The sequence below is a fragment of the Homo sapiens genome, chromosome 1 (assembly GCF_000001405.40).
Source record: "Homo sapiens chromosome 1, GRCh38.p14 Primary Assembly".
NCBI lineage: Eukaryota > Metazoa > Chordata > Mammalia > Primates > Hominidae > Homo > Homo sapiens.
The window spans coordinates 221,929,651-221,954,767 of record NC_000001.11 but is presented as its reverse complement, the minus strand read 5'-3'; the positions used below and the strand labels follow the sequence as shown (position 1 = coordinate 221,954,767).

General features: G+C 39.7%; 1 long non-coding RNA gene across 1 annotated transcript in view, besides 1 other annotated feature; it reads left to right on the top strand.

The window, feature by feature from the left end:
- LINC02257 (long intergenic non-protein coding RNA 2257) overlaps positions 1 to 25,117 on the top strand; it is a 64,876-nt gene that overhangs the window by 23,753 nt on the left and 16,006 nt on the right. The window lies entirely within an intron of this gene.
- Positions 15,099 to 15,278: an enhancer, noted in NCBI's record as "active region_2573". NCBI's record gives its function as "activates an Ori minimal core promoter by ATAC-STARR-seq in GM12878 lymphoblastoid cells {active_cell/tissue: GM12878}" and the evidence as "EXISTENCE:reporter gene assay evidence [ECO:0000049][PMID:35858748]".

Below are 25,117 nucleotides of genomic sequence, written 5' to 3'. Positions count from 1 at the left end.
TGTGGGCATTTAGTGCTATAAATTTCCCTCTACACACTGCTTTAAATGTGTCCCAGAAATTCTGGTACATTGTGTCTTTGTTCTCATTGGTTTCAAATAACTTATTTATTGCTGCCTTCATTTCATTATTTACCCAGTAGTTCAGGAGTAGGTTGTTCAGTTTCCACGCAGTTGTGTGGTTTTGAGTGAGTTTCTTAATCCTGAGTTCCAATTTGATTGCACTGTGGCCCGAGAGACAGTTTGTTGTGATTTCTGTTCTTTTACATTTGCTGAGGAGTACTTTACTTCCAACTGTGTGGTCGATTTTGGAATAAGTGTGATGTGGTCCTGAGAAGAATGTATATTCTGTTGATTTGGGATGGAGAGTTCTGTAGATGTCTATTAGGTCAGCTTGGTGCAGAGCTGAGTTCAAGTTCTGGATATCCTTGTTAACCTTCTGTCTTGTTGATCTGTCTAATATTGACTGCGGGGTGTTAAAGTCTCCCATTATTACTGTGTGGGAGTCTAAGTCTCTTTGTAGGTCTCTGAGGACTTGCTTTATGAATCTGGGTGCTCCTGTATTGGATGCATATATATTTAGGTAGTTAGCTCTTCTTGTTGAATTGATCCTTTTACCGTTATGTAATGTCCTTGTCTCTTTTGATCTTTGTTGGTTTAAAGTATGTTTATCAGCGACTAGGATTGCAACTCCTACTTTTTTATGCTTTCCATTTGCTTTGTAGATCTTCCTCCATCCCTTTATTTTGAGCCTATGTATGTCTCTGAACGTGAAATCGGTCTCCTGAATACAGCCCACTGATGGGTCTTGACTCTTTATCCAATTTGCCAGTTTGTGTCTTTTAATTGGAGCATTTAGCCCATTTACATTTAAGGTTAATATTGTTATGTGTGAATTCGATCCTGTCATTATGATGTTAGCCGGTTATTTTGCTCGTTAGCTGATGCAGTTTCTTCCTAGCATAGATGGTCTTTACAATTTGGCATGTGTTTGCAGTGGCTGGTACTGGTTGTTCCTTTCCACGTTTAGTGCTTCCTTCAGGAGCTCCTGTAAGGCAGGCCTGGTGGTGACAAAATCTCTTAGCATGTGCTTGTCTGTAAAGGATTTTATTTCTCCTTCACTTATGAAGCTTAGTTTGGCTGGATATGAAATTCTGGGTTGAAAATTCTTTTCTTTAACAATGTTGAATATTGACCCTCTCTCTCTTCTGGCTTGTAGAGTTTCTGCCGAGAGATCAGCTGTTAGTCTGATGGGCTTCCCTTTGTGGGTAACCCAACCTTTCTCTCTGGCTGCCCTTAACATTTTTTTCCTTCATTTCAACTTTGGTGAATCTGACAATTATGTGTCTTGGGATTGTTCTTCTCGAGGAGTATCTTTTTGGTGTTCTCTGTATTTCCTGAATTTGAATGTTGGCCTGCTTTGCTAGGTTGGGGAAGTCCCCCTGGACAGTATCCTCAAGAGTGTTTTCCAACTTGGTTCCATTCTCCCTGTCACTTTCAGGTACACCAATCAAATGCAGATTTGGTCTTTTCACATAGTCCCACATTTCTTGGAGGCTTTGTTCATTTCTTTTTACTCTTTTTTCTCTAAACTTCTCCTCTGGCTTTATTTCATTCATTTGATCTTCCATCACTGATACCCTTTCTTCCACTTGATCGAATCAGCTATTGAAGCTTGTGCATGTATGACATAGTTCTCGTGCCATGGTTTTCAGCTCCATCAGTTCATTTAAGGTCTTCTCTATGCTGTTTATTCTAGTTAGCCATTCACCTAATCTTTTTTCAAGGTTTTTAACCTCCTTATGATGGGTTCGAACAAAACAGGAAGTTTGTTATTACTGACCTTCTGAAGCCTACTTCTGTCAGCTTGTCAAAATCATTCTCTGTCCAGCTTTGTTCCATTGTTGGCAAGAAGCTGCGATCCTTTGGAGGAGAAGAGACGCTCTGATTTTTAGAATTTTCAGCATTTCTGCTCTGGTTTCTACCCATCTTTGTGGTTTTATTTACCTTTGGTCTTTGATGTTGGTGACCTACAGAAGGAGTTTTGGTGTGGAAGTCCTTTTTGTTGATGTTGATGCTATTCCTTTCTGTTTGTTAGTTTTCCTTCTAAGAGTCAGGTCCCTCAGCTGCAGGTCTGTTGGAGTTTGCTGGAGGTCGACTCCAGACACTGTTTGCCTGGGTATCACCAGTGGAGGCTCAGTTGGAAATGCAGAAATCACTGTCTTCTGTGTTGATTATGCTGGGAGCTGCAGACCGGAGCTGTTCCTGTTCAGCCATCTTAGGAATAATGTTTTACATACCAAAGCTTTTTGTCCCCATTTCCCATCATATGAATAGGATTTCCTGTTGTCAAGCCAATGATCTGTTATATCACCCTTTTCCCATAGGTGCGAGTGGCGGTCTGAATGGAGAAGTTCAATAGCTCTGATTGCAGATCCTATGCAGGAGAGATAATAAGTAAAATAATCTTTGTCTCCTGGATTAAGCTGCGGCTGGCAAAGGGAGAAATGTCCCAAGCCTTCTAACAACCAACGGCATACTCTATGTTGTCCTGGATGCTGGTCTGGTGGCTGAATATGTGGAACTGGCCCCGTATACCCATACTGTTGTCTATTTCTATAAGTGTAGGCTTGAGGACACCATGGGCAATAGTTACTATTGGGGTTTCAATAAAGAGTGAATAGAGCTGGAGGAGTCGATGGGCAGAAAATAAGTGTGAAAGGTGCATGGAGGATATTAACACTTGAAGGTTTTGAGAACTGTAGAGGGTAAGTGGAGCATAGCTTGTGATTTTGAAGGCCTCTAGAAGTATTAAAGTGGCAGCTACCACCACTTGTAGATATGAGGGCCAGTCTAGAACTGTGAGGTCAAGTTGTTTGGATAGAAAGGCTATAGGTTTTGGGCCTGGCTCCTGTGTGAGACCTCCAGCAGCACAACCTTGTATTTCAGCTGTGTGTAAGGAAAAAGGTTGGGATGAGCTGGGGGAGCTGTTTCTAAGGCCTTTTTGAGAGAATGAATGAAAGAATGAGGAAAGGACTTAGGGTCTTTGGGATCAGCTAAATTGCCTTTAGTGAGCTTGTAAAGTGGTTTGGTTAGGATGGCAAAGCCTGGTATCCAGAGTTGGAAGTATCCAACAATGCCTAAGAAGGAAAGGAATTGTTGCTTGGTGGTAGGGATTGGGGTCTGGGAGATTAACTGAACGTGGTCTGCAGGAAGAGCACATGTATGTTGATGGAGGACTATGCCAAGATATGTAACACTAGGGGAAGAAATTTGAGCCTTAGAGATGGATACTCAGTACCCCTTCAAGTAGAGATGCTGAAGAAGTAGGATAGTGTCCTGCTGGGAGGATTGGTAAGAGGGGCTGCAAAGAAGAAGGTCATCAACATATTGAATAAGGTGGGAGGTAGATGGGCAAAAAGATAGTAAGTCATGAGAGAGAGCCTGACCAAAGTGATATGGGCTGTCCCTAAAACCTTGGGGTAGGACAGTCCAGGTGAGTTGCTGGGACTGGTGGGTGTCAGGGTCAGTCCAAGTAAAGATGAAAAAAGGTTGGGAGGAGGGATGTAAAGGAATAGTAAAGAAGGTGTCTTAGAGGTCAATAACTGAATAATGAGTTGTGGAAGCAGGTATTGAAGACAGGAGAGTGTAAAGGTTTAGCACTATAGGATGGATGGGAATGACGATTTGATTAATAAGGTGAAGATCCTGAAACAACCTGTAAGACTTGTCTGGTTTTTGGACAGGTAGGATAGAGGAGTTGTAAGGAGAATTTGTAGGCTTTAAAAGGCCATGTTGTAACAGGTGAGTGATAATAGGCTTCAGTCCTCTTAGAGCCTGCTGTGGGATGGGACACTGGCAATGAGCAGGGTAAAGGTGATTAGGTTTTAATGGAATGGTAAGGGGTGCATAGTCAGTTGCCAAAGAAGGAGTAGAGGTATCCCATACTTGTGGATTAAGGTGGGGAGACACAAGGGGAGGATGCAAAAGAGGCCTTAAATTGAGCAAAAAGGCAGCAATGAAGTGTGGCTGTAGCCCAGGAATAGTCAGGGAAGCAGATAATTTGGTTAAAATGTCTCAGCCTAATAAGAGAAGTAGGCAGGTGGGGATAATTTAAAAAGAGTGTATAAAAGAATATTGTCCAAGTTGACACCAGAGTGGGGGAGCTTTAAGAGGTTTAGAAGACTGGCTGTCAATAACCAAAACAGTTATGGGGGCAAGGGAAACAGGCCCTTTAAAAGAAGGTAATTTGAAGTGGGTAGCCCCCATATCGATTAAAAAGGGTTACCCTCCACTGTAAGAGCTACCTGAAGCTCAGTGTCCGTGATAGTCCAGGGGGCTTCCGAGGTGGTCAGGCAGTGTCAGTCTTCAGCCACTAAGCTGAGGAGATCTGGGAAGGAGTCAGCCAGAGAACCTGAGGTTTTTGTTCCAGCATGTCTAGGAGAGGCTGTAATCCTAGTTGGACAGTCTGACTTCTAGTGGGGTCCCACACAGACAGGACAAGGCTTAGGAGGAATCCTAGGCTGCGGGCATTCCGAGGCCCTGTGGCTGAGTTTTTGGCATTTGAAGCAAGGTCCATGAGGAGATTTTAAAGAAGTGCCTGGAGGCTGTGGTTTGGTTGTTCTGAAGTTTTTGTGTGCTGAAGGCATGGCCGGGGTTTGTCTTACAGTGGAGGCAAGCAGTTGCAGCTCTGAAATACATTGCTGCTTTGCTGACTCTTCTCTATTGTTGAACACCTTTAAGGCATGGTTAATTAAGTCTTTTTATGGGGTTTGAGGGCTGGAATCTAGTTTTTGGAGTTTTTTCCTAATGTCGGGAGCAGACTGGGTAATAAAATGCATATTAAGAATGAGACAGCCTTCTGGGCCTTCTGGGTCCAGAGCTGTAAAACGTCTAAGGGTAGCTGCCAAGTGGGCCATGAACTGGGCTGGGTTTTCATCCTTACCTTGGGTGGCTTCTTTAAGCTTGTCATAATTAACAGCTTTTTATGCTGCCTTTTTGAGCCCTTCAACTAGGCGAGAGACCATACAATCTCACCTAGCTGTACCTCTGGAGCCTGTTTGGTATTCCCATTAGGGATCCTCTCAGGGAACTGCCCTGGTGCCTTCTTGGAGGCCTGGCTCATGACTCCAGCAGTTGTCAGCATGAGATTGGGCTAGGTTATAAACTCTTTCTCACTCATCTGGGAAGAGGGTAGAGGTCAGAATGATGTTTAAGTCACTCCAGATTAAACTGTAGGACTGAGTTAAATATTGGAATTCATATATGTATTTAGTGGGGTCTGATGAGAAAGAGCCCAAATGCTGACTGATTTGGGAAAGGTCTGATAGAGAAAAAGGTACATGAACCCTTACTATGCCCTCAGCTCCAGCCACCTCTCTAAGAGGAAATTGTTGGGCAGGTGGGCGAGAGCTAGTCATGGAATGAAACTGTAAGCTGAACCGAGTGTGAGGAGGGGAGATGATAGAAGAATTATAAGGTGGGGGAGCAGAGGTTGAGGAAGAATTGGAACTTGATTCAGCATGTTGAGGAGTGGCCTTGGGAGGGGGAGAAAGGTCAGAGGGGTCTGAAGAAAAGAAGGATTCAGAGGACTCTGAGGTTGGGGTAGAGACTGAAGAAATGGACAGGAGAGAAAGAAGAAAGATTTAGGGTGAGTCGCATTGGGGTCAGAGGCTAAGGAGGGAACAAAGTGTAAAAAACGCTTGGACGTAAGACATCTCAGACCATTTACCCAATTTTCAACAAAAATTATCTAGGTCTTACAGGATGGAGAAATCAAAAGTGCCATTTTCTGGCCATTTGAAACCACTGTTGAGTTTGTACTGGGGCCAAGCAGTATTGCAGAAGAAAAAAAGATGTTTGGGTTTTAGGTCAGGTGTTAGTTGAAGAGGTTTTGAATTTTTAAGAACACAGGCTAAGGGGGAAGAGGGAGGAATGGTGGGTGGAAGGTTGCCCATAGTGAAGGAGGTAAATTTGAAGAGAAAGGTAAAGACAGAGAAGGGGAGGTGGGCAGCTACCAGGCTTTCAGTAGGCGTCCCTGACTGAGTCCTAGGCTGCAATGTGGGTGAGCAACCAAAGCAGCTGTCCCTGCAATCGGCTTGCCACCAGGGGAGTGTGGGTGAATGATCAAGGCAGGCGTCCCCACAGTGATCAGACACCAATGGAATGTGGGTCAGTGATCAAAGCAGTTGTCCCTGCAATGATCAGACACCAAGGGAAGACTGTCTTCCCGGGTCCGTGACTGACATTGGAGTTTTTGAATCCACAGAAAAAATGTGTCTCCCTTGTCTCTACTAGAGAGGAAAAGGAGCTGAAATTGAAAGGAGAGAGAAATTGAAGGGTAGCAAGAGAGGCTGGAGAAGAGAGTATAAAGGACCAGTTACCTGATTTGAAATTGGTGAGATGCTCCTTGGGCTGGTCTGAGGACCCGAGGTCATAGGTGGATCTCCTCATGGAGAGAGGGCAAGGACATGGGACAGGTCTCCAGAAGGAGTCCCCCTGTCCTGGGTTTTGGCACCAAGTGTCATGCATGTCCATATAGAAGACCACCTAAACAGGCTTTTTTGTGAGCAACAAGGCTGTTTATTCACTTGGGCGCAAGTGGGCTGAGTCCAAAAAGAGAGTCAGCGAAGGGAAGATAGGAGAGGGACAGCTTTACAGGACTTGGGTAGGCAGTGGAAAGTTACAGTTGAAGGTGTCTGTTGTCTAGCAGGGGAGGGGGTCATAAGGTGCACGGTGGGGAGATCATGAGACCCATTGTCCAGGAGAAGAATGTCATAACCTCGATTGATCAGTTAGGGTAGGGCAGGAACAAGTCATAATGGTGGAATGTTGTAGGTTTGGTTAATCAGTTAAGGCAGAAACTGGCTGTTTCAATTCTTTTGTGGTTTTTCGGCTGCTCCAGACTTGTTGTCTCCTGCAGGCCATCTGGATGTATACTTGCAGGTCACAGGGGTTACAATGGCTTAGCTCCGGCTTAGAGGCCTGACAGTAAATATTGCTGTTTTACATTAATTAATTTTTCTATGAGGAAGCATATATTACTAAAACCTACAAAATGTATTTTGCAAAATCTTGTAGATGACAGTTCAAAATCTTTTTAGATTTTCACTAAAAAGGCTACTAAGAGTTACAAATTTTAATTAATATATGTAATTCTGTATGCAAAGTACACAAAAAAGTAAGATATGTTTTGGTGATAAAAAATTTAAAAAAAACTTAAAGATATATTTTTTGTTGGAAAAAGTAATTTTGCTTAATTTTGAGGTTATTTAAAGGTTATTTCAAAATATAAATATAAGAAGGAAATAAAAAGGCACAAATAAACCAGTAAGTAGAAGAAAGAGATGCAAAAAGTTATGTATGAGGGTATATTTTAGGAAAAAAATGAAAAGTGAAAGAGGGTAATTTTTTTGTATGAGAGAAGTTTGTGTGGTCAAAATAATAAGAAAAAAAGAGAAGCAAGTTTTTGTCCTAAGGTAGAATGATTTGTTGTCCCAATAGGATAAGAAAAAGAAATAGAGGACAAAACTGAAAGTCTAAGCAAATTGTAGAAGGTTTGTGAAGAATGAATCTTATAAAAAAATCTTGTGTGATTAAGTTGACTTAAATTAAGATGGATTCCCAAGGCCGAACAAGATGGCAAAGTAGAAGGCTCAACTGATTGTCCTTCCACAAGGACAAGTAAACAACTATCTACACAGAAAAAACACCTTCATTAGAATCAAAAGTCAAGTGAGCAGTATCACTGAAAGAGGCAACGAAGAGATAGAAAAAACAGTCGGTAATTGCTGACGTCACTCCCTTCCACCTGCAGCAGCAGTGTGGTGCGGAGAGCCTCTCAGGGTACTGGGAGAGGTAGGATACAACAATTGTGAGGCGTTGAACTCAGTTTCTGTCTTGTTAGAGCAGAAAGTAAAACTGGGCCAAACCTAGCTGTCACCTCCCCATGGAGGGAACATTTAAGCCAGCTCTAGCCAAACTGGAATCATGGATCCCAGTGGTGAGAACTTGAGTGTCTGCAAACCTCACCACAGAGGGCTACAGCACTGGGTCTCCAAGTAAACTTGAAAGGCAACCTAGGCCATAAGGAAAGTAACTCTTAGGCAAGCCCTAGTGCTAAACTAGGCCCAGAGACAATGGACAAGGGGTGAACATGACATACTGAGACACCAGTTGGGGCAATCTAGGGACTGCTGGCCTCATCCCTCCCCTCCCCAAGGCTGCACAGCTCAAGGCTTCAAAAGAGATCCCTTCCTTTCACCTGAGGAGAGAAGAGGAAAGAGATGGGGAGGACTTTGCCTTACATCTTGGAAACCAGTTCAACCACAGCAGGGTAGGGCACCAGATAGAGTCATGAGGCCCCTGTTTTAGGGCCTTGCTGCCAGATGACATTTCTAGACACAACCTAGCCAGAAGGGGACCTGCTGCCTTGAAGGAAAGTATCTAGTCCTGGCAGCAGCATTCATCACCTGCTAACTGAAGAGCCCTTGAGCCCTGAATAACCAGCAGCAATACCCAGGTACTACACCAAAAGCCTTAAGTGAGCCTCTGAGACTTGCTGGCTTCAGGTGAGACTCAGCACATTCCCAGCTTTGGTGGCTACAGGGAAAAACCCCTTCTGCTTGAGAAAAGCAAAGGAAAATATAAAGGGGACTTTGTCTTACACCTTAGGTACCATGATGGCAATGGGGGCAGAAAACCAAGCAAGATCTTAGGGTCCCTGATTCCAGAACTGGACTCTTGGATGGCATTTCTGGACCTGCTCTGGGATAGAAGGGAGACAACTTCCCTGAAGAATGAGTCCCATGCCAGGCAGCATTCACCACAAGCTGGCTGAAGAGCCCTTGGGCCTTACAGGACCATTGGCTGGTAGTCTGGTAGTACTCCTTGTGGCCTGGGGTGGCACTGGTTACAGGGTGCAGCTCCTCTGCCTTCGGAAAGAAGCAGGAAGAGTGGGAAGGACTGCATCTTTTAGTATGAGTGCTGGCTCAGCCATAATAAAATAGAGCACCAGGTAGATTTCTAAGGTATTTGACTCTTGTCTCTGACTCTCAGACAGCACCTGTGAAACTACCTTGGGCCTGGGGGAACTTGCTGCCCTGAAGGTGAGGATACAGGCATGGCTGACATTGTCACCTGCTGATTGTAGGGCCTCAGGGCTTTAAGCAAACATAGGCAGTAGCCAGGGAATGGTTATAGCAGGCCTTGGGTTTCAGGTCTGACCTATTGCAGTCACAGTGGTGGTGGCCACAGGGGTGCTTGTGACACTTCATTCCCAGCTTTATGTGGCTCAGAATAGAGAGAAGACTCCATTTGTTTGGGAGAAAGTAGGAGAAGAGAACAAGAGTCTCTATCTGGTAATACAGAGAATTCTTCCAGATCTGGTCTAAGACCATCAAGATGGTACCTCTACAAGCCTGGAAGAACCACAGTGATACTGGGCTTGGGGTGCCCCATAAATCAGATACAGCTTAGATCACAATACCAAAGTCCTTTCAAATATCTGGAAAACCTTTGTAAGAAGGATGGCTACAAACAAGTGTAGATAGTAAGACTACAATAAATACCTAATTCCTGAATGCCCAGACACTAAAGAACATCTGTTAGCATCAACATCATCCACGAAAACATGACCTTACCAAATGAACTAAATAAGACACCAGGGACCAATCCTGGAGAAACAGATATGTGACCTTTCAGGTAGAGATTTCAAAATAGCTGTGTCAAGGTAATGCAAAGAAATTCAAGATCACAAAAAGGAGTTCAGAATTCTATCAGATACATTTAACAAAGAGATTGAAATAATTAGAATCAGGCCAAAATTCTGGAGCTGAAAAATGCAATTGGCATACTGAAGAATACATCAGAATCCTTTTATAGGAGAATTGATCAAGGAGAAGAAAAGGATCCTAAAAGCAGCAAGAGAAAAAAACCAAATAATATACAACGGAACTCCAATAGTCTGGCTGCCAAAAGTCTGACAGCAGATTTTTCAGTGGAAACCATACAGGCCAGGAGAGAATAGCCTGACATATTTAAAGTGCTAAAGAAAAAAACTTTTACCCTAGAATAATAGTATATCCAGTGAAAATGTCCTTCAAACATGAAGGATAAATATTTTCCCAGACAAACAAAAGCTGAAGGATTTCATCAACACCAGACCTGTTCTATTTTTCTCTGATATAAATATAGTGACTTCTGCTCTTTTTTGGTTTCCATTTGCATGGAATATCTTTTTCCATCCCTTTATTTTCAGTCTATGTGTATCTTTACAGGTGAAGTACGTTTCTTGTAGGCAACAAATCTATGGATCTTGTTTTTTCATCCATTCAGCCTATGTCTTTTGATTAGAGAGTTTAGTCCATTTACATTCAATGTTATTATTGATAAGTAGGAACTCACTCCTGTGATTTTGTTATTTGTTTTCTGGTTATTTCGTGGTCTTCTCTTCCTTCTTTCTTTCCTTTCTGTCTTCCTCTAGAGAAGGTGATTTTCTCTGGTGATATGATTTAACTTCTTGCTTATTATTTTTTTTGTGTGTCCATTGTATGGTTTTTGGTTTGAGGTTGCCATGAGGCTTACAAATACTCTTATAATCCATTATTTTAATATGATAACAACTTTACATTATTTGCATAAACAAACAAGCAAAAAGAAAATGAATAAAAACTCTACACCTTACTTTTGTCCCGCTGCTTTTTAACTTTTTATTGTTTCTATTTATATCTTGTTGTACTGATTAGGTCTTGACAAAATACACTGATGCAAAGTGACCAGTGATTGTATTTTAATCAAGCATTTTCAACCTTTGATATTTTTAACAAACTTCCCAAAATCAAATTCTAAAATTAAGAATTTTTGACCTCAAATTAACTATTAGACATTCTAGAAAAACCCCTAAATGTCCAAAAGAGAGACTTTAAGCCAATTAGGCTCCGTCAATTATGTTAAATTATATAGAAAACATTATCAAAGAAGAAATAACATTTATGCTTATTTGAGTTATATTTGTATGGCTGTTATTAATATGTTTTCCGAATTTGTATATTTGTAGATATCAATTATGTTATCAATCTTGTTTGGTTATTATGTTAACATGTTGTATGCCACAGAACTAAACAAATTCCTTTGTCAATTGCATTATTATTATAACAAATTCTTATCAGGCTGTTAACCATAGCCAGTTGAAGTTATGTTGTCCTTAATTAATTGCTTTATTCCAGTGGCTTTCTGAAAGCTTTTTGCAAGTAATTCTAATTCTCAGATGTGTGCCTTTAAGGAGGTTTATAGAAAGAATGGAAAGAACACTAACAAGTACAGGTATCTGACTGCTTTGAGATACCACTGGACTGAGTAACAATTTTGAGAACTTTAATGAAGAAACAAATGAATTCGTGAAACTGTTAACGAAGATCAAACACAGCAAGAATTAATTACATGAGACTGAATGAACTGATGAGGAAGAATTATGGGTTTTTACAACTTTTTAATTTAAAACATTGCTAGCTCTCTCAATGTTTTGCTTTCCAGACTTAAGGAAAGTATTGTTTTTTTTCTTTTAAACTATCAATGGCTTATAGCAGTTTGGTAAATAATACTTTTCCAAATAAAAATGAGACATTTGCTTTTCTTTCTTACCCAGTCCCTCCAATGTGCAATGGCATGATCTTGGCTCATTTCAACCTCTGCCTCCCGGGTTAAAGCAATTCTCCTGACTCAGCCTCCCAAGTAGCTGGGATTACAGGCATGCACCACCACACCCAACTAATTTTTTGTTATCTTTGGTAGAGACGGGGTTTCACCATGTTGGCCAGACTGGTCTCAAACTTCTGACCTCATGATTTGCCCACTTCAGCCTCCCAAAGTGCTGGGATTACAGGCATGAGCCACCATGCCTGGCCCCCTCAAAATTTTTTTAAATTATTTGTGAATGTTCTTATTATGATGGCAATATGGCTATTTATATAAGTTCACAAAAATTTCCTCTCTTTATAAGAGGATGCAATTGGAAACATTGGTTATATCATAGAGGCTTTGACTGGAATGTCATATTTGAAAATGTACATAAAATGCCTAGCTTTAAGTGTTCCCACCATTACAGTGAGTGAACAAAAAGTTGTCACTTTCTGGCAGGCCCAGGAACCTCAAGATATTAGATACTTCAGGCAAGGTCTGATCTGCTTTGGTTTGGCTTCCTAGTGTCAAGAGATTTTTAAAAGTCTAATTTGAGATTCCTTGTCAAAATTTCCAGCAAAGAAAATTTAAAAGGAAACTATGTGATTATGCATGCTGCACTTAGGTGAATAAATAGGCCAAGTTTAATGAAACTAAACTTAATTTGCAAACAAATTAGTCTTACTCTGATTATCTTTTATAGAAATGGTAGTGACTATAGAGAGAAAAATTACATTTTAGAAGAAAACTGTGTTACATCTGTTATTCAATTGTAGCCAAGTTCATTGCTTTCAAGTTTTTATTTTCTGCCTGTAGACTGAATTTGATTCTGAATTCTAGTTTCCTCTAATATCTGGCTATGATTCTCCAACTAAGAACAAAAACTACTCTGTTCATAAAGCCCATAAGGCCAACTTAATAAATTTCAAGAGGCAAAGCTCATGCCTGATGTATGGGCCACACAGAGAATTCACCAAAATGCCTGATGCCATAATCAGAAACATACAAACTGCAAACCAGGAGAAGTTGCTGACTTCATGCAGTGGAGAGCTTTTCCCAAGACTGTCAGAACAGGACTCCATGATATGAGACTTTTAACCCTCTTAATTTTCCCTTGTTTATGCCTATCTCTTTCAGTTGGCAGGATAATGCTGTAGTTAAACTTTGACAATCATTAGCTTCTACAGGTAACCTGCAAATTGCCCCTCCCTACTTTAACCAAGTCATGCAATGCTAGATAAAAGAATTGATGCGTACTGGCTAGATAGGGAGAAATCTGTGCAATTGCTAACATTTCTTGTTGTACAGGAAAAAAATATATGGGTAATTTTGAGACCCAATTACAAAAATTAACAAACAGGTTATTTGGTTAAAATGGGTCCACCCCTCATCTGGCTCATTCTTTGATCTATTCATTTTTAGTTGGTTTGATTTACTGGTACCCTAGCTAAGAAGCATATCTCAAAATCTTGATAGTATTCTCCAGATAGTCGTAATACTAGTCTCCCTGGTGCATTGTGTCCTCTAAAAAATTTTTAAATGTTTGCACAGCCCATCAGTCAAACATCAGATGGCCTCTCTTCTATTGGAATGACAAAAACTCAAGGAAATACATGATCATGAGTACATCATAACCTATGAATGATGTGTTGAGACCAGAAACCTTGAATGATAGTAACTGAGAGTAGTGCTAATGCCTTTAGTTTTGTTCACACTGTCACGTAGGTGAAAGCTCGACCAGAAGGGGGAAATTGTTTGACACTATGCAGCTGTAGACTAGCTGGCTGCCTCCATCCACTGGAACAGAGTCTCTGGGTTTCAAGAAAACGTGGCAGATAGGGATGTTTGGGAACTATCAGACAGGAATGACTTGCCTCGGGAGTGATTTGCTTTCTGAAGTTAGTGTTGCAGGTAAAACAGGGAGTGAATTGCCTCCTGAGGTTAGTGTTGCAGGTAAAACAGGGATGGAGGTTGTGGGTTCTCACACGCGCTTGCTCGGTAGTATGTGGTGCCTTGGCTCCAGGCAGATGACTAAGAGTTCAAGGGGTAAGTTTGCCCATGCTCTGCTACTGAGGTCCTGATTTGCTCTTGGGTGGTGTTTTCTCTCATGGTTGACAAGATTGAGGGTCCCACTCCCTCTCTAATCAAGCCATTCATATTACATTAATTAATTAATTAATTTTGAGACATGGCCTTGCTCTGTCACCTAGGAGTGCAGTGGTACAATCACAGCTCACTGCAGCCTTGACCTCCTGACCTCTTACCTCAGCCTCCTGAGTAGCTGGGGCAACTGGTGTGCAGCTGTGCTATGCCTGGCTAATTTTTGCATTTTTCATAGAGATGGGGTATTGCCATGTTGACCAGGCTGGTCTCAAACTCCTGGACTCGAGCAATTCTCCTGCCTTGGCCTCCCAAAGCATTGGGACCATGAGTATGAGCCACTGCACCTGGCTACCATTCCTATTTAATAAAGAAGGATAGCATTTTCACCGGAATTTTGCTCAGAATTGAACCACATGCTGAAATTCATTTTGGGCTGGGCTTAGGGCGTGTGCTCAAAATATGTTTTACTTTAGGATGGGTCCTGCTCTGGAGAACCCCACATCTTCCAGCATCATGATTCTAACTGTAGGAATGCCAACTTCAGAAATACTGAGAACATATTTTGATTTCTGGCTAAATGTCATGATAGTGAGGACTTGTGAGGAGTAAACCAAATAAGCCACAAGTAGAAAGCTTGATATACTTCACTCTTTCCTTGGCCTTGCCCTTATTAAGCAATTAAATATGTGTTTATACACCTAGTCTATCAACGGACAGTGGGGAGCAACTCCAGAAGCCTGGAGAAAAAAAATATTGTTCGACCATTATATTAACATGACTTATTGACATCAGTTATCTGTAATAAGGCATATGGGATTTTGTGAGGATTGAAGGAGAATTTTTTCTTGTTATCTTCTTTAATCCTGTATTTTCCCTTGTATTATGCAGTCCTTATTTATTAAAGACTGTAGGAAGAGACTATGAGGAAATGTCATTGTTGAGATGAAGGGGCAAGTGTGTATTTTATAGATGGTGATGTGGTAAAGGAGATCTACTCATAAATAAAAGCAGTATTTTATGAAAAGAAAGTCATAGCAGTGTGCTGGCAGGCAGACTCTACAGATGGGGAGGGGACTGGGAACTGGACCAAGGCTAAGTGGCAATCTGGTTGACAACAGAGAAGAGTCTGGGGGGAAGCAACTAGCTCTCGTAGTGGTTTATGACATCAGTCACCACCAGCAGGGGCTGCCAGCTGGTGCAATACCAGGGACCCAAGCAGGTGGGTGAAGCCAATAATGAGAAAGCATGCAGGAGACACTTGCAAATTCAGACCACAGGCTGGCAGCTCTTGGGTAGTGAAGCCTGGCCACTGGGCTGATATTCAGAACAAGAATTTAGAAGGTAGAATTAACACCTGAAACTGAAGCATGTGGAAGCATTTGGCGAAAGAATTGCTGTTTGAAAAGAGGCTAAACTGCAGCTGGAAACTTGGCATGGAAGCCCAAAAGCCCTGGGTCTCAAGTCTGTGTAACGTGGAGGTGGGCTGAGATGATTTCAACACCTTCTGCTTCAAATTCCCATTTGCTGGTAACTAGGAAGGCTGTGCTATGGGAAGGTTGAAGAGGACAGCTGCAGGTGACAAGAGGTGGGGCCAGTACGGATTATGGTGGAAATCTATGTTTACCATTAAACAGAGGCTGGAACTAGTTAACTCTGAGGAAAAGTCAGGAAGTAACCACACACTTAGTCTGCATAGTTGTTGCGTTCAGATTGTTTTGGAGTGAACATAAGGCACCAAGATTTAGTGAATGAAAGATGAGACAAAGAGTCAAAATGCTGGAACTTAACAGACTCATTTCTATCAGTGGTCTTGGCATGGACAAGGCACTGAATCTCTCTAAGAGGCAGTGTCATTATCTATAAAAGTGTATCTGCCTTGTTGTCCTCAATTCCCCAAACATTAATCTGTGCCAAATGTGATGCTAGGGACAAAGATGAGGAATGAGTGGCCCCTACCTTGGGGAGGCCACAGTCTTCCAGTCTCCCAAGAGACAGCAGGAGAAATAGAAAAGGATGAGGCATTGACACGTACTGTGTTCCAGACTCGGTGCTTCACACATGTGATCTCATTTAAATATTTTATAAAGTGATCGGGCAGGTATTATTATTTCCTCTCTCAAGGATGAAGCGATGAAGGCTCAAAGAAGGATTCCAAGGTCATCATTTGGGTAAATGGGGAAGCCATGTCTTGAGCCCAGGTATGTCATCCCTTAAATCCCAGGATTTTCCCAACATCCCCCACTGTTCAGGAGAGAGAGAGATGGGTAAAAAACTCACCTTATATGTTTGAAGGCCAGCATCGATTGGAACCCAGGGAGGAGGCAGAAATGTTTTTTCTGAGTTTAAAAAATGTTGACATATGGGGGAAGATGAAAAAGGGCATTTAGGAAATTCAGGTAGTATGATTTGTGTGACAGTGGATTTTCTTCAGCTGCAGACAGAATCTGAGGGTGTGAAATTGCAAAGGTAACCTTCTCATCCTATATAGCCTTTCCCACTAAGGAGTCTGGGCACATGCAAGCTGTGTGCAAAAGCATCATCTATCCCTGGGGAGATGAAAGGGTGGCCTTAATGGGACAGGAGGAAAATCAATAATGTATCACTTTGGAGCAAGGAGCTGGGTGACCAAGCACAAAATGTCAGCAGCCTGACAAGGCAAAGGCAGCCTTGGCCTGGGGCAACTGATATTGATTGTAATAAGCCCAAAACAATTAGCTTATGAATCTGCCTCCCAACTACTTTGCGTTCCTTCTCAAAATACGTACTTTTAGATCCACAATGAACCATTGCCCCCTGGAAGGCTGGTTCTGCTATTTGGAAGGACATGAAGAGTCATGCCACATGGCTGTTAGCTCCTCATCACACAGGGTTTGGCAAAAGGAAGAAGGGGTTTTAGAATGTCTGAGGCCTACAGGATCACAGGCAGGGTCATACAAATGACAAACAACATTGTACTGGCATTGAACTTAAATTCTAGAGTCCTGAGTGTTAGTTCTAGAGAAGTCATTAATTTGACGTGTAACTTTGAGAAAGTCACTTTACCTCTCTGGGCCTGTTTCCTTGCCTTTAAAATGAAAGGAATAAGCTAAAAATGTTCTTTATATGGCTTGTTTTGGTAGATGCATACTTTTGGGGTGTGTTTGTGTGTCTGCGTTTGCATGTGTGTTCTCTCTGAGGGATCACAACTAAGAATCGTTGACTCTATCCCTCCTTGGCTCATAGAATGTCCCTTGCACAATTTTGTGCGTAGGAATGTGCTGGATGCCTGAGATACAATATACACGTGATAGTTAATGTTATGTGCCAATTTGGTTGGGTAACAAGTGCACAGATATTTGGTCAAACATTATTCTAAGTGTGTCTGTGAGGGTGTTTCTGGATGAGATTAGCACTGGAATCAGTAGACTGAGTGAAGTAGATGGGCTCCCTGTGTGGGTGGGCCACATCCAATCACTTTAAGTCCTGATGAGAACATAAAAGTTGACCCCTTTTTGAGTAAAAGGGAACTCCTACTTGACTGCCTTCTGGCTGGGACGTTATTTCTTTTTTCAGCCTTCGTACTGGCACTGCAACATTGAACATTCTAATTCTCAGACCTTCAAACTCAGACTGAAACTATACCATTGGCTTTTCTCCAGCTTGCTAACTGCAGATTTGGGGACTTTTCAGCCTCCAAAATCATGTGAGCCAACTCGTTATAGTAAATCACCTCTCTCTTTCTATGTGTATATAGATACACACACGTATATGTGTGTGTGTGTGTGTATGTGTCTGTATGTGCACATGTGTATTTTATTGGTTCTATTCCTCTGGAGAACCCCGATTAATACAATAAATAAGGCAACATGTCAAGAAGTGTGTTCCCTACTTGCTTCTTGGTCTGCTGCTCTCAGAACCTTCTGTGGAACAGGAGATGGAATTTTGCCATAAACAGTGGTTCCTAAACTTTGTTGCACATAAGCGTCAGCTGGGGAGTTTAAAAAATCTCAATGCCAAGATTACACCCCAGATCAACGCAGTCAGAATGTCTGGGGTGGGGCCCAGGCATCAGTATAGTTTAAAGATTCCCAGGTCATTCAAATGTTCAACAAAGCTTGGGCACCACTGCCTTGAAATAAAATTTGAAGGTCTGATGCAACTTTTAATGATTTCAGATATACAATTGAACTTTGACTAAAATATCACGGGAAAAGCTTCATCCTTCCATATATTGAAGTGACTTCAAATAATGATAATTACCATGGATTGAGCACCTGTTATATGCCAGGCTTTAATGTAAGACTTTGAACACATTAGGCCCTTAGTACCATTTCATAGATGAATTAACCGGGACTCAAGGAGATTAAATGACTTTTCTGAATCTACAAACATAGGAAGAATTGGGATTGGAACCAGGTCTGTCAGGAATAAAAGGGTATGATCATAATCACCCACTGTGTCATGGTGGGCTAACCCTCCAGGTCAGGGACCCAGGCTTCACTTCACAGTTTCAGGAATAGAAATGCGGTATTAGGATCAGCTTAGTCCAGTTCCTCCATGAAGCATACCATTACTGCTGTGAAACTTAGATTTCTCCCTTCTCATCTTGAATCTATAAATTAGGTCTGATTCATATGTTTTATAATATTGGGTAATTATGTGATGTTGTCTTTACAGCAAGCTTGGGTCTTCCTTGGGATAGGGGACTGTCTCATTTTTCTCTGATATCCTCCTTTGATTCCTGGAATAGTGACGAATACATAGTAGGTGCTCACTAAATACTTGCAAATTAATTTCTATATAAGCTTATGGCGGGGAGTCTTCTCAACATTTAGCCATGGAGGGCAGGTAAAGTAGGCTTATGGGATTGGAAAAGGGAGGTGTAATGTGGTTGGGAAGAACAGTAATATTTGTGGACATGTTACTGCCTATTGCTGAGTTCCACTTTGCCATAGGCCTTCCCAGGTACCATCACTTGGGCTTTTTCGTAGCCCAGCAGGGTCTCCATCCTCAGCTCTCCTGCAACTGAGGTATGTGTCCGGTTGTTGCAGTCTCTCTCTCTCTTTCTCTCTCTCTCTCTCTCTCTCGATGAGGTCTTGCTCTCTAAACTAGGCTGGAGTGCTATGGTATGATCATATCTCACTGTTCCCCAGTTGTTGCTCTTAAATATTTAGGGCAAATGACATTTAGGTTTGGCACCATAAAGATTTTCATACTTGGAGAACTGGTGACAGCCAGAAATACGTCATTGGGATGACAGATATTCCACCATTCTTTTTTAAAGGAAAAAATTCAGCATCATCTTATCATGGTTGGGACTCTTGTTTAGATCATTGTTCACCTGTTTTGCTTTTTACTTTTTTGGTAGGTGCATATATGGGGTACATGAAATATTTTGATACAGGCATACAAAGCATAAGAATTTCATCAGGGAAAATGGGGTATCCATCACCTTAAGCATTTATCCTTTCCTTATGTTACATACATACCAGTTATACTCTTTTAGTTATTTTAAAATGTACAATAAATTATTGCTGGGTGTAGTCACCCTGTTGTGCTATCACAATATAGATAATGTTTATATTATCTATATACTATACTATTTATTTATACTATACTATTTATACTAACTATATACTATATTATATTTACACTACCTAACTATATTTTTGTACCCATTAACCATCCCCACTTTACCACCCTTTCACCCTTCCCAGCCTCTGGTAGCCATCATTCCCCTCTCTAGCTCCATGAAGTTCAACTGTTTTAATTTTTAACTCCTACAAATGAGTGAGAACTTGTGAAGTTTGTCTTTCTGTGCCTGGCTTATTTCACTTAACATAATGACCTCCAATTCCAATCATGTTGTTGCAAATGACAGGATCTCATTCTTTTTCATGGCTGAATAGTAAGTACTCTGTTCTGTATATGTACCACATTTTTTAATCCCTTCATCAGTTGATGGACACTTAGGTTGCTTCCAAATCTTGGCTACTGTGAATAGCGCTGCAATAAACATGAGACTGCAGATATCTCTTTGGAATACTGATTTCCTTTCTTTTGGGTATATACCTAGCAGTGGATTGTATGGTAGTTTTAGTTTTAGTTTTTTTGGGAACCTCCATACTGTTCTCCATAGTGGCTGTACTAATTTACATTCCCACCAGCAGTGTACAAGAGTTCTCTTTTCTAAACATCCTTGCCAGCATTCTTTATTGCCTATCTTTTGGTTAAAAGCCAGTTTAACTGGGGTGAGGTGATATCTTATTATAGTTCTGCTTTGTATTTTTCCAGTGATCAATAATGTTGAGCACACCTTTATATAACTGTTTGACATTTATGTCTTCTTTTAAGAGATATCCATTCAGATATTTTGCCCATTTAAAAAATGTTTTCCTATTGAGTTGTTTAAGCTCCTCATATACACTAGTTATTAGTCTTTTGTCAGATGGATAGCTTGCAAATATTTTCTCCTATTTTGTATGTTGTCTCTTCACTTTATTAATTGTTTTCCTTTGCTGTGAAGAAGCTTTTTAACTTGTGGTCAATCCATTTGTCCGTTTTTGCTTTGTCTGCCTGTGCTTGTGGGGTATTACTCAAGAAATCTTTGCCCAGACTAATATCCTGGAGAATTTCCCTAAGTTTTCTTTTAGTAGTTTTATAGTTCTAGATCTTAGATCTAAGTATTTAATTCATTTTGATTTGATTTTTGTATATGACAAGAGATAGGAATCTAGTTTCATTTTTCTGCATACAGATATCCAGTTTTCCCAACACCATTTATTAAAGAGGCTTTTTTCCCAGTGTATGTTCTTGACACCTTTGTCAAAAATGAGTTCACTGTGGGTATGTGGATTTGTTTCTGGGTTCTCTATTCTGTTCCAGTGTTCTATGTATCTGTTTTTATGCCAGTACCATGCTGTTTTGGTTAGTATAGCTCTGTAGTATAATTTAAAGCCAGGTAATGTGATTTCTCCAGTATTTATTTATTTATTTATTTATTTATTTATTTATTTATTTATTTATGCTCAGAATGGCTTTGGCTTTTTTTGGGTCTGTTATGGTTTTATATAAATTTCAGGATTATTTTCTGTTTCTGTGGAGAATGTCATTGGTATTTTGACAGGAATTGCATTGATTCTGTAGGTTGCTTTGGGTGGCACAGATATTTCCATCCGTAACCGTGGAATACCTTTCCTTTTTTTTGTGTGTCCTCTCAATTTCTTGCCTCAATGTTTCATAGTTTTTATTTTATTTGTAGCTATTATAAATGGGATTACTTTATTGATTTCTTTTTCAGACTGCTTGCTGTTGCCACATGGAAATACACCTGATTTTTGTATGTTGATTTTGTATCCTGCAATACTACTAAATTTCTTTATCAGTTCTAATATTTTTTGGGTGGAGTCCAAATAAATGAGCATATCATCTGCAAACAAAGATAATTTGACTTCTTCCTTTTAAATTTGGATGCCCTCTATTTCTTTCTCTTGTCTGATAGCTCCAGCTGGGACTTCCAGTACTATGTTGAATAACAGTGTGAAAGCGGGCATCCTTGTTGTGTTCCAGATCTTAGAAGAAAGGATTTTAGTTTTACCTATTCAGTATGCTACTAACTGTGGGTCTGTAGTATATGACTTTTATTGTGTTAAGGTATGTTTCTTCTATACTCAGTTTTTGTTTTAGGGTTTTTATCATGTAGGGATGTGGAATTTTATCAGATACTTTTTCAGCATCAGTTGAAATGATCATATGGTTTTTGTCTTTCATTCTTTTGGTATAATGCCTCACCTTGATTCACTTGCATATATTGAATCATCCTTGCATTCCTAGGATAAATCTTACTTGGTCATGATGGAATGATCTTTTTCATGTATTGCTGTATTCAGTTTGATAGTATTTTGTTGAGAATTTTTGCATCAATATTCATCAGAGATATTGACCTGTAGTTTTCTTTTTTTTATGTTTTTATCTGGTTTTTGTATCAGGGCAATACTGAACTTGTAGAATGAGTTTGGAAGTATTCCCTCCTTCTCTTATTTTCAGAATAGTTCAAGTAGGATTGGTATTAGTTTTTCTTTAAATATTTGGTAAAATTCATCAGGTCCCCAGCTTTTCTTTTACTTATAATTGGCCTATTCAAGTTTTGGATTTCTTCATGGTTCATTCTTGGTAGTTTTACGTGTCTAGGAATTTATTCATTTCTTCTACAGGTTTTCCAGAGCCATGGCATATAGTTGTTCACATTAGCCTCTAATGAACCTTTGAATTTCTGCAGTATCAGTTGTTGTGTCTTCTTTTTCATCTCTGATTTATTTGGGTCTTCTCTCTTTTTTCCTTAGACTTGCTAAAGATTTGTCAATTTTGCTTATCTTCTCAAAAACTAACTTTTCATTTTATTGATCTTTTGTATTTTTTGTTTCAGTCTCATTTCTGCTCTGATTTTTATTATTCCCTTTCATCTATTAATTTTGGATTTGGCTTGCTATTGCTTTTCTAGTTTTTTAAGATGCATCATTAGGTTGTTTACTTTTTTATTGTAAAATATTGTTTTTACTTTTTTATTATAGGCACTTATTGTTATAAACTTTCCTCTTAGTACGGTTTCCTGCATCCTATAGATTTTGGTATTATATATATTATATATTGTGTTTCCATTTCCATTTGACTCAATAAAATTTTCTTTTTTTTAATTATGAAAATCTATTTTTGAAAATTGTGACTAGAAGGTAAGGTACAAGTGGGGATTTAAAAAAATATAGTTTACTTTAAGTTCCAGGATACATGTGCCGAATGTGCAGGTTTGCTACGTAAGTATACATGCGCCGTGGTGGTTTGCTGTACCTACTGACCTGTCCTCTAAGTTCTGTCCCTTCGACCCCACCCCCCAACAAGCCCTGGCGTGTGTTGTTCCCCTCCCTGTGTCTATGTGTTCTCATTGTTCAACTCCCAATTATGGATAAGAACATGCATTGTTTGGTTTTATGTTCCTGAGTTAGTTTGCTGAGGATGATGGCTTCCAGTTTCATCCATGTCCCTCAAAGGACATGACCTCATTCCTTTTTATGTCTGCATAGTATTCCATGGTGTATATGTACCACATTTTCTTTATCCAGTCTGTCATTGATGGGCATTGTTCAATAAAATTTTCAATTTCTTTCTTAATGACTTCTTGACCCACTGGTCATTCAGGAACATATTGTGTAATTTCCATGTGTTACTATAGTTTCCAAAGTTTCTCTTGTTATTGATTTCTAGTTTTACTTCATTGTGGTCACAGAAAGTATTTAATATAATTAATTTTTTTTTGTTTTAAGGCTAGTTTTGTGGCCTAACATATGGTTTATCCTTTGCAGTGATTCATGTGCTGAGGAGAAGAATGTGTATTCTGCAGCACTTGGATGAAATGTTCTGTAAATATCTGATAGGTCCATTTGGTCTATAGTACAGATTAAGTCTGATGTTTCTTTGTTGATTTTCTTTCAGAATGATCTGTCCAATACTGGAAGTAGAGTGTTGAAGTCTCTAGCTATTATTGTATTAGGGTCTATTTCTCTCTTTAGCTCTAATAACTTTTGTTTTATATATCTGAGTGCTCCACTGTTGAGTGCATATATATTTACAATTATTATATCCTATTGCTGAATTGACCCTTTTACCACTATAAAATGACCTTTGTCTCTTTTTATGGGTTTTGTCTTGAAATCTGTTTTGTCTGACATAAGCAGAGCTAGTCTTGCTCTTTTTTGGTTTTCCATGGAATATCTTTCTCTATCTTTTTATTTTCACTCTATGTGTGCCTTTATAGTTGAAGTGTGTTTCTTGTAATTAACAGATCATCAATCCATTCTATGTCTTTTTATTGGAGAGTTTAGTCCCTTTATATTCAATGTTATTATTGATAAGTAGGGATTTACTCCTGCCCTTTGTTATTTGTTTTCTCATTGTCTTTCTCTTCCTTCTTTTCTTTCTTCTTGTCTTTTTTTAGTGAAGGTAGTTTTATCTGGTGCTAAGTTTTAATTTTTTGCTTTTTGTTTTTTATATATTTGTAACAGGTTTTTTTTTAAATTTGAGTTTTCCATGAGGATGGCAAATAACATCTTATCTTGCAAATAACAACATTATTTCAAATTGATGACAAGTTAACACTGATTGCAAAAGTGAAATAATAAGCAAAGGGAAAACTAACACAAACTTTACACTTTAATTTTTTCTCCCTGCTTTTTAACTTTTTGTTGTTTCCATCTATATCTTGCTATACTATCTATTCCTTGAAAATTTGTTGTAGTTATTATTTTCAATAGGTTCATCTTTTAGTTTTTCTACTCAAGATATAAGTAGTTTGTACACCACAATTCTGGTGTTATAATAGTCTGTATTTGTCTCTGTACTTACTATTACCAATGAGTTTTGTACCTTCAGATAATTTCTTATTGGTCATTAATGTCCTTTCCTTTCAGATTGAAGAACTCCCTTTGGCATTTCCTGTAGGACAGGTCTGGTATTGATGAAATTCCTCGGTTTTTGTTTGTCTGGGAAAGTATTTCTCCTTGATGTTTGAAGAATATTTTTGCTGGATATACTATTCTAGGATAAAAGTTTTATTCTTTCAGCACTTTAAATGTGTCATGCCACTCTCTTCTGGCCTGTAAAATTTCCACTGAGAAGTCTGCTGTTAGATATATTGGAGCTCCATTTTGTGTTGCTTTTTCTCTCTTGCTGCTTTTTCAGATCCTTTCTTTATTCTTGACCTTTGAGAGTTTGATTATTGGGTGTCTTGAGGTAGTCCTATTTGGATTAAGTCTGCTTGGTTTTCTATAGCCTTCGTGTAGCTGGATATTGATATCTTTCTCTAGGTTTGGGAAGTTATCTGTTATTATCCCTCCAAATAAAATTTCTACCCTTACTTCTCTTTACTTCTTCTTTATTGCCAATAACTCTTAGATTTGCCTTTCTGAGACTATTTTCTAGATCATGTAAGCATGCTTCATTCTTTGTTTTGCTTTTGTCTTCTCTGACTGTATTTTTTAATGGTGTGTCTTCATGTTCATTATTTCTTTTCTTTCATTAATTCTGCTGTTGAGAGACTCTGATGCATTCTTCCTCATGTCAATTGAATTTTTCAGCTCCACAATTTCTGATTAATTTTTTAAAATCACTTCAATCTGTTTGTTAAATTTATCTCATAGGATTCTGAATTCCTTCTCTGTGGTATCTTGAATTTCTCTGAGCTTCCTCAAAACAGCTATTTTGAATTCCCTGTCTGAAAGGTCACATATTTCTGTCATTCAGGGATTGGTTGCTAGTGCCTTATTTAGTACATTTTGTGAGGTCATGTTTTCCTGGATGGTCTTGATGCTTG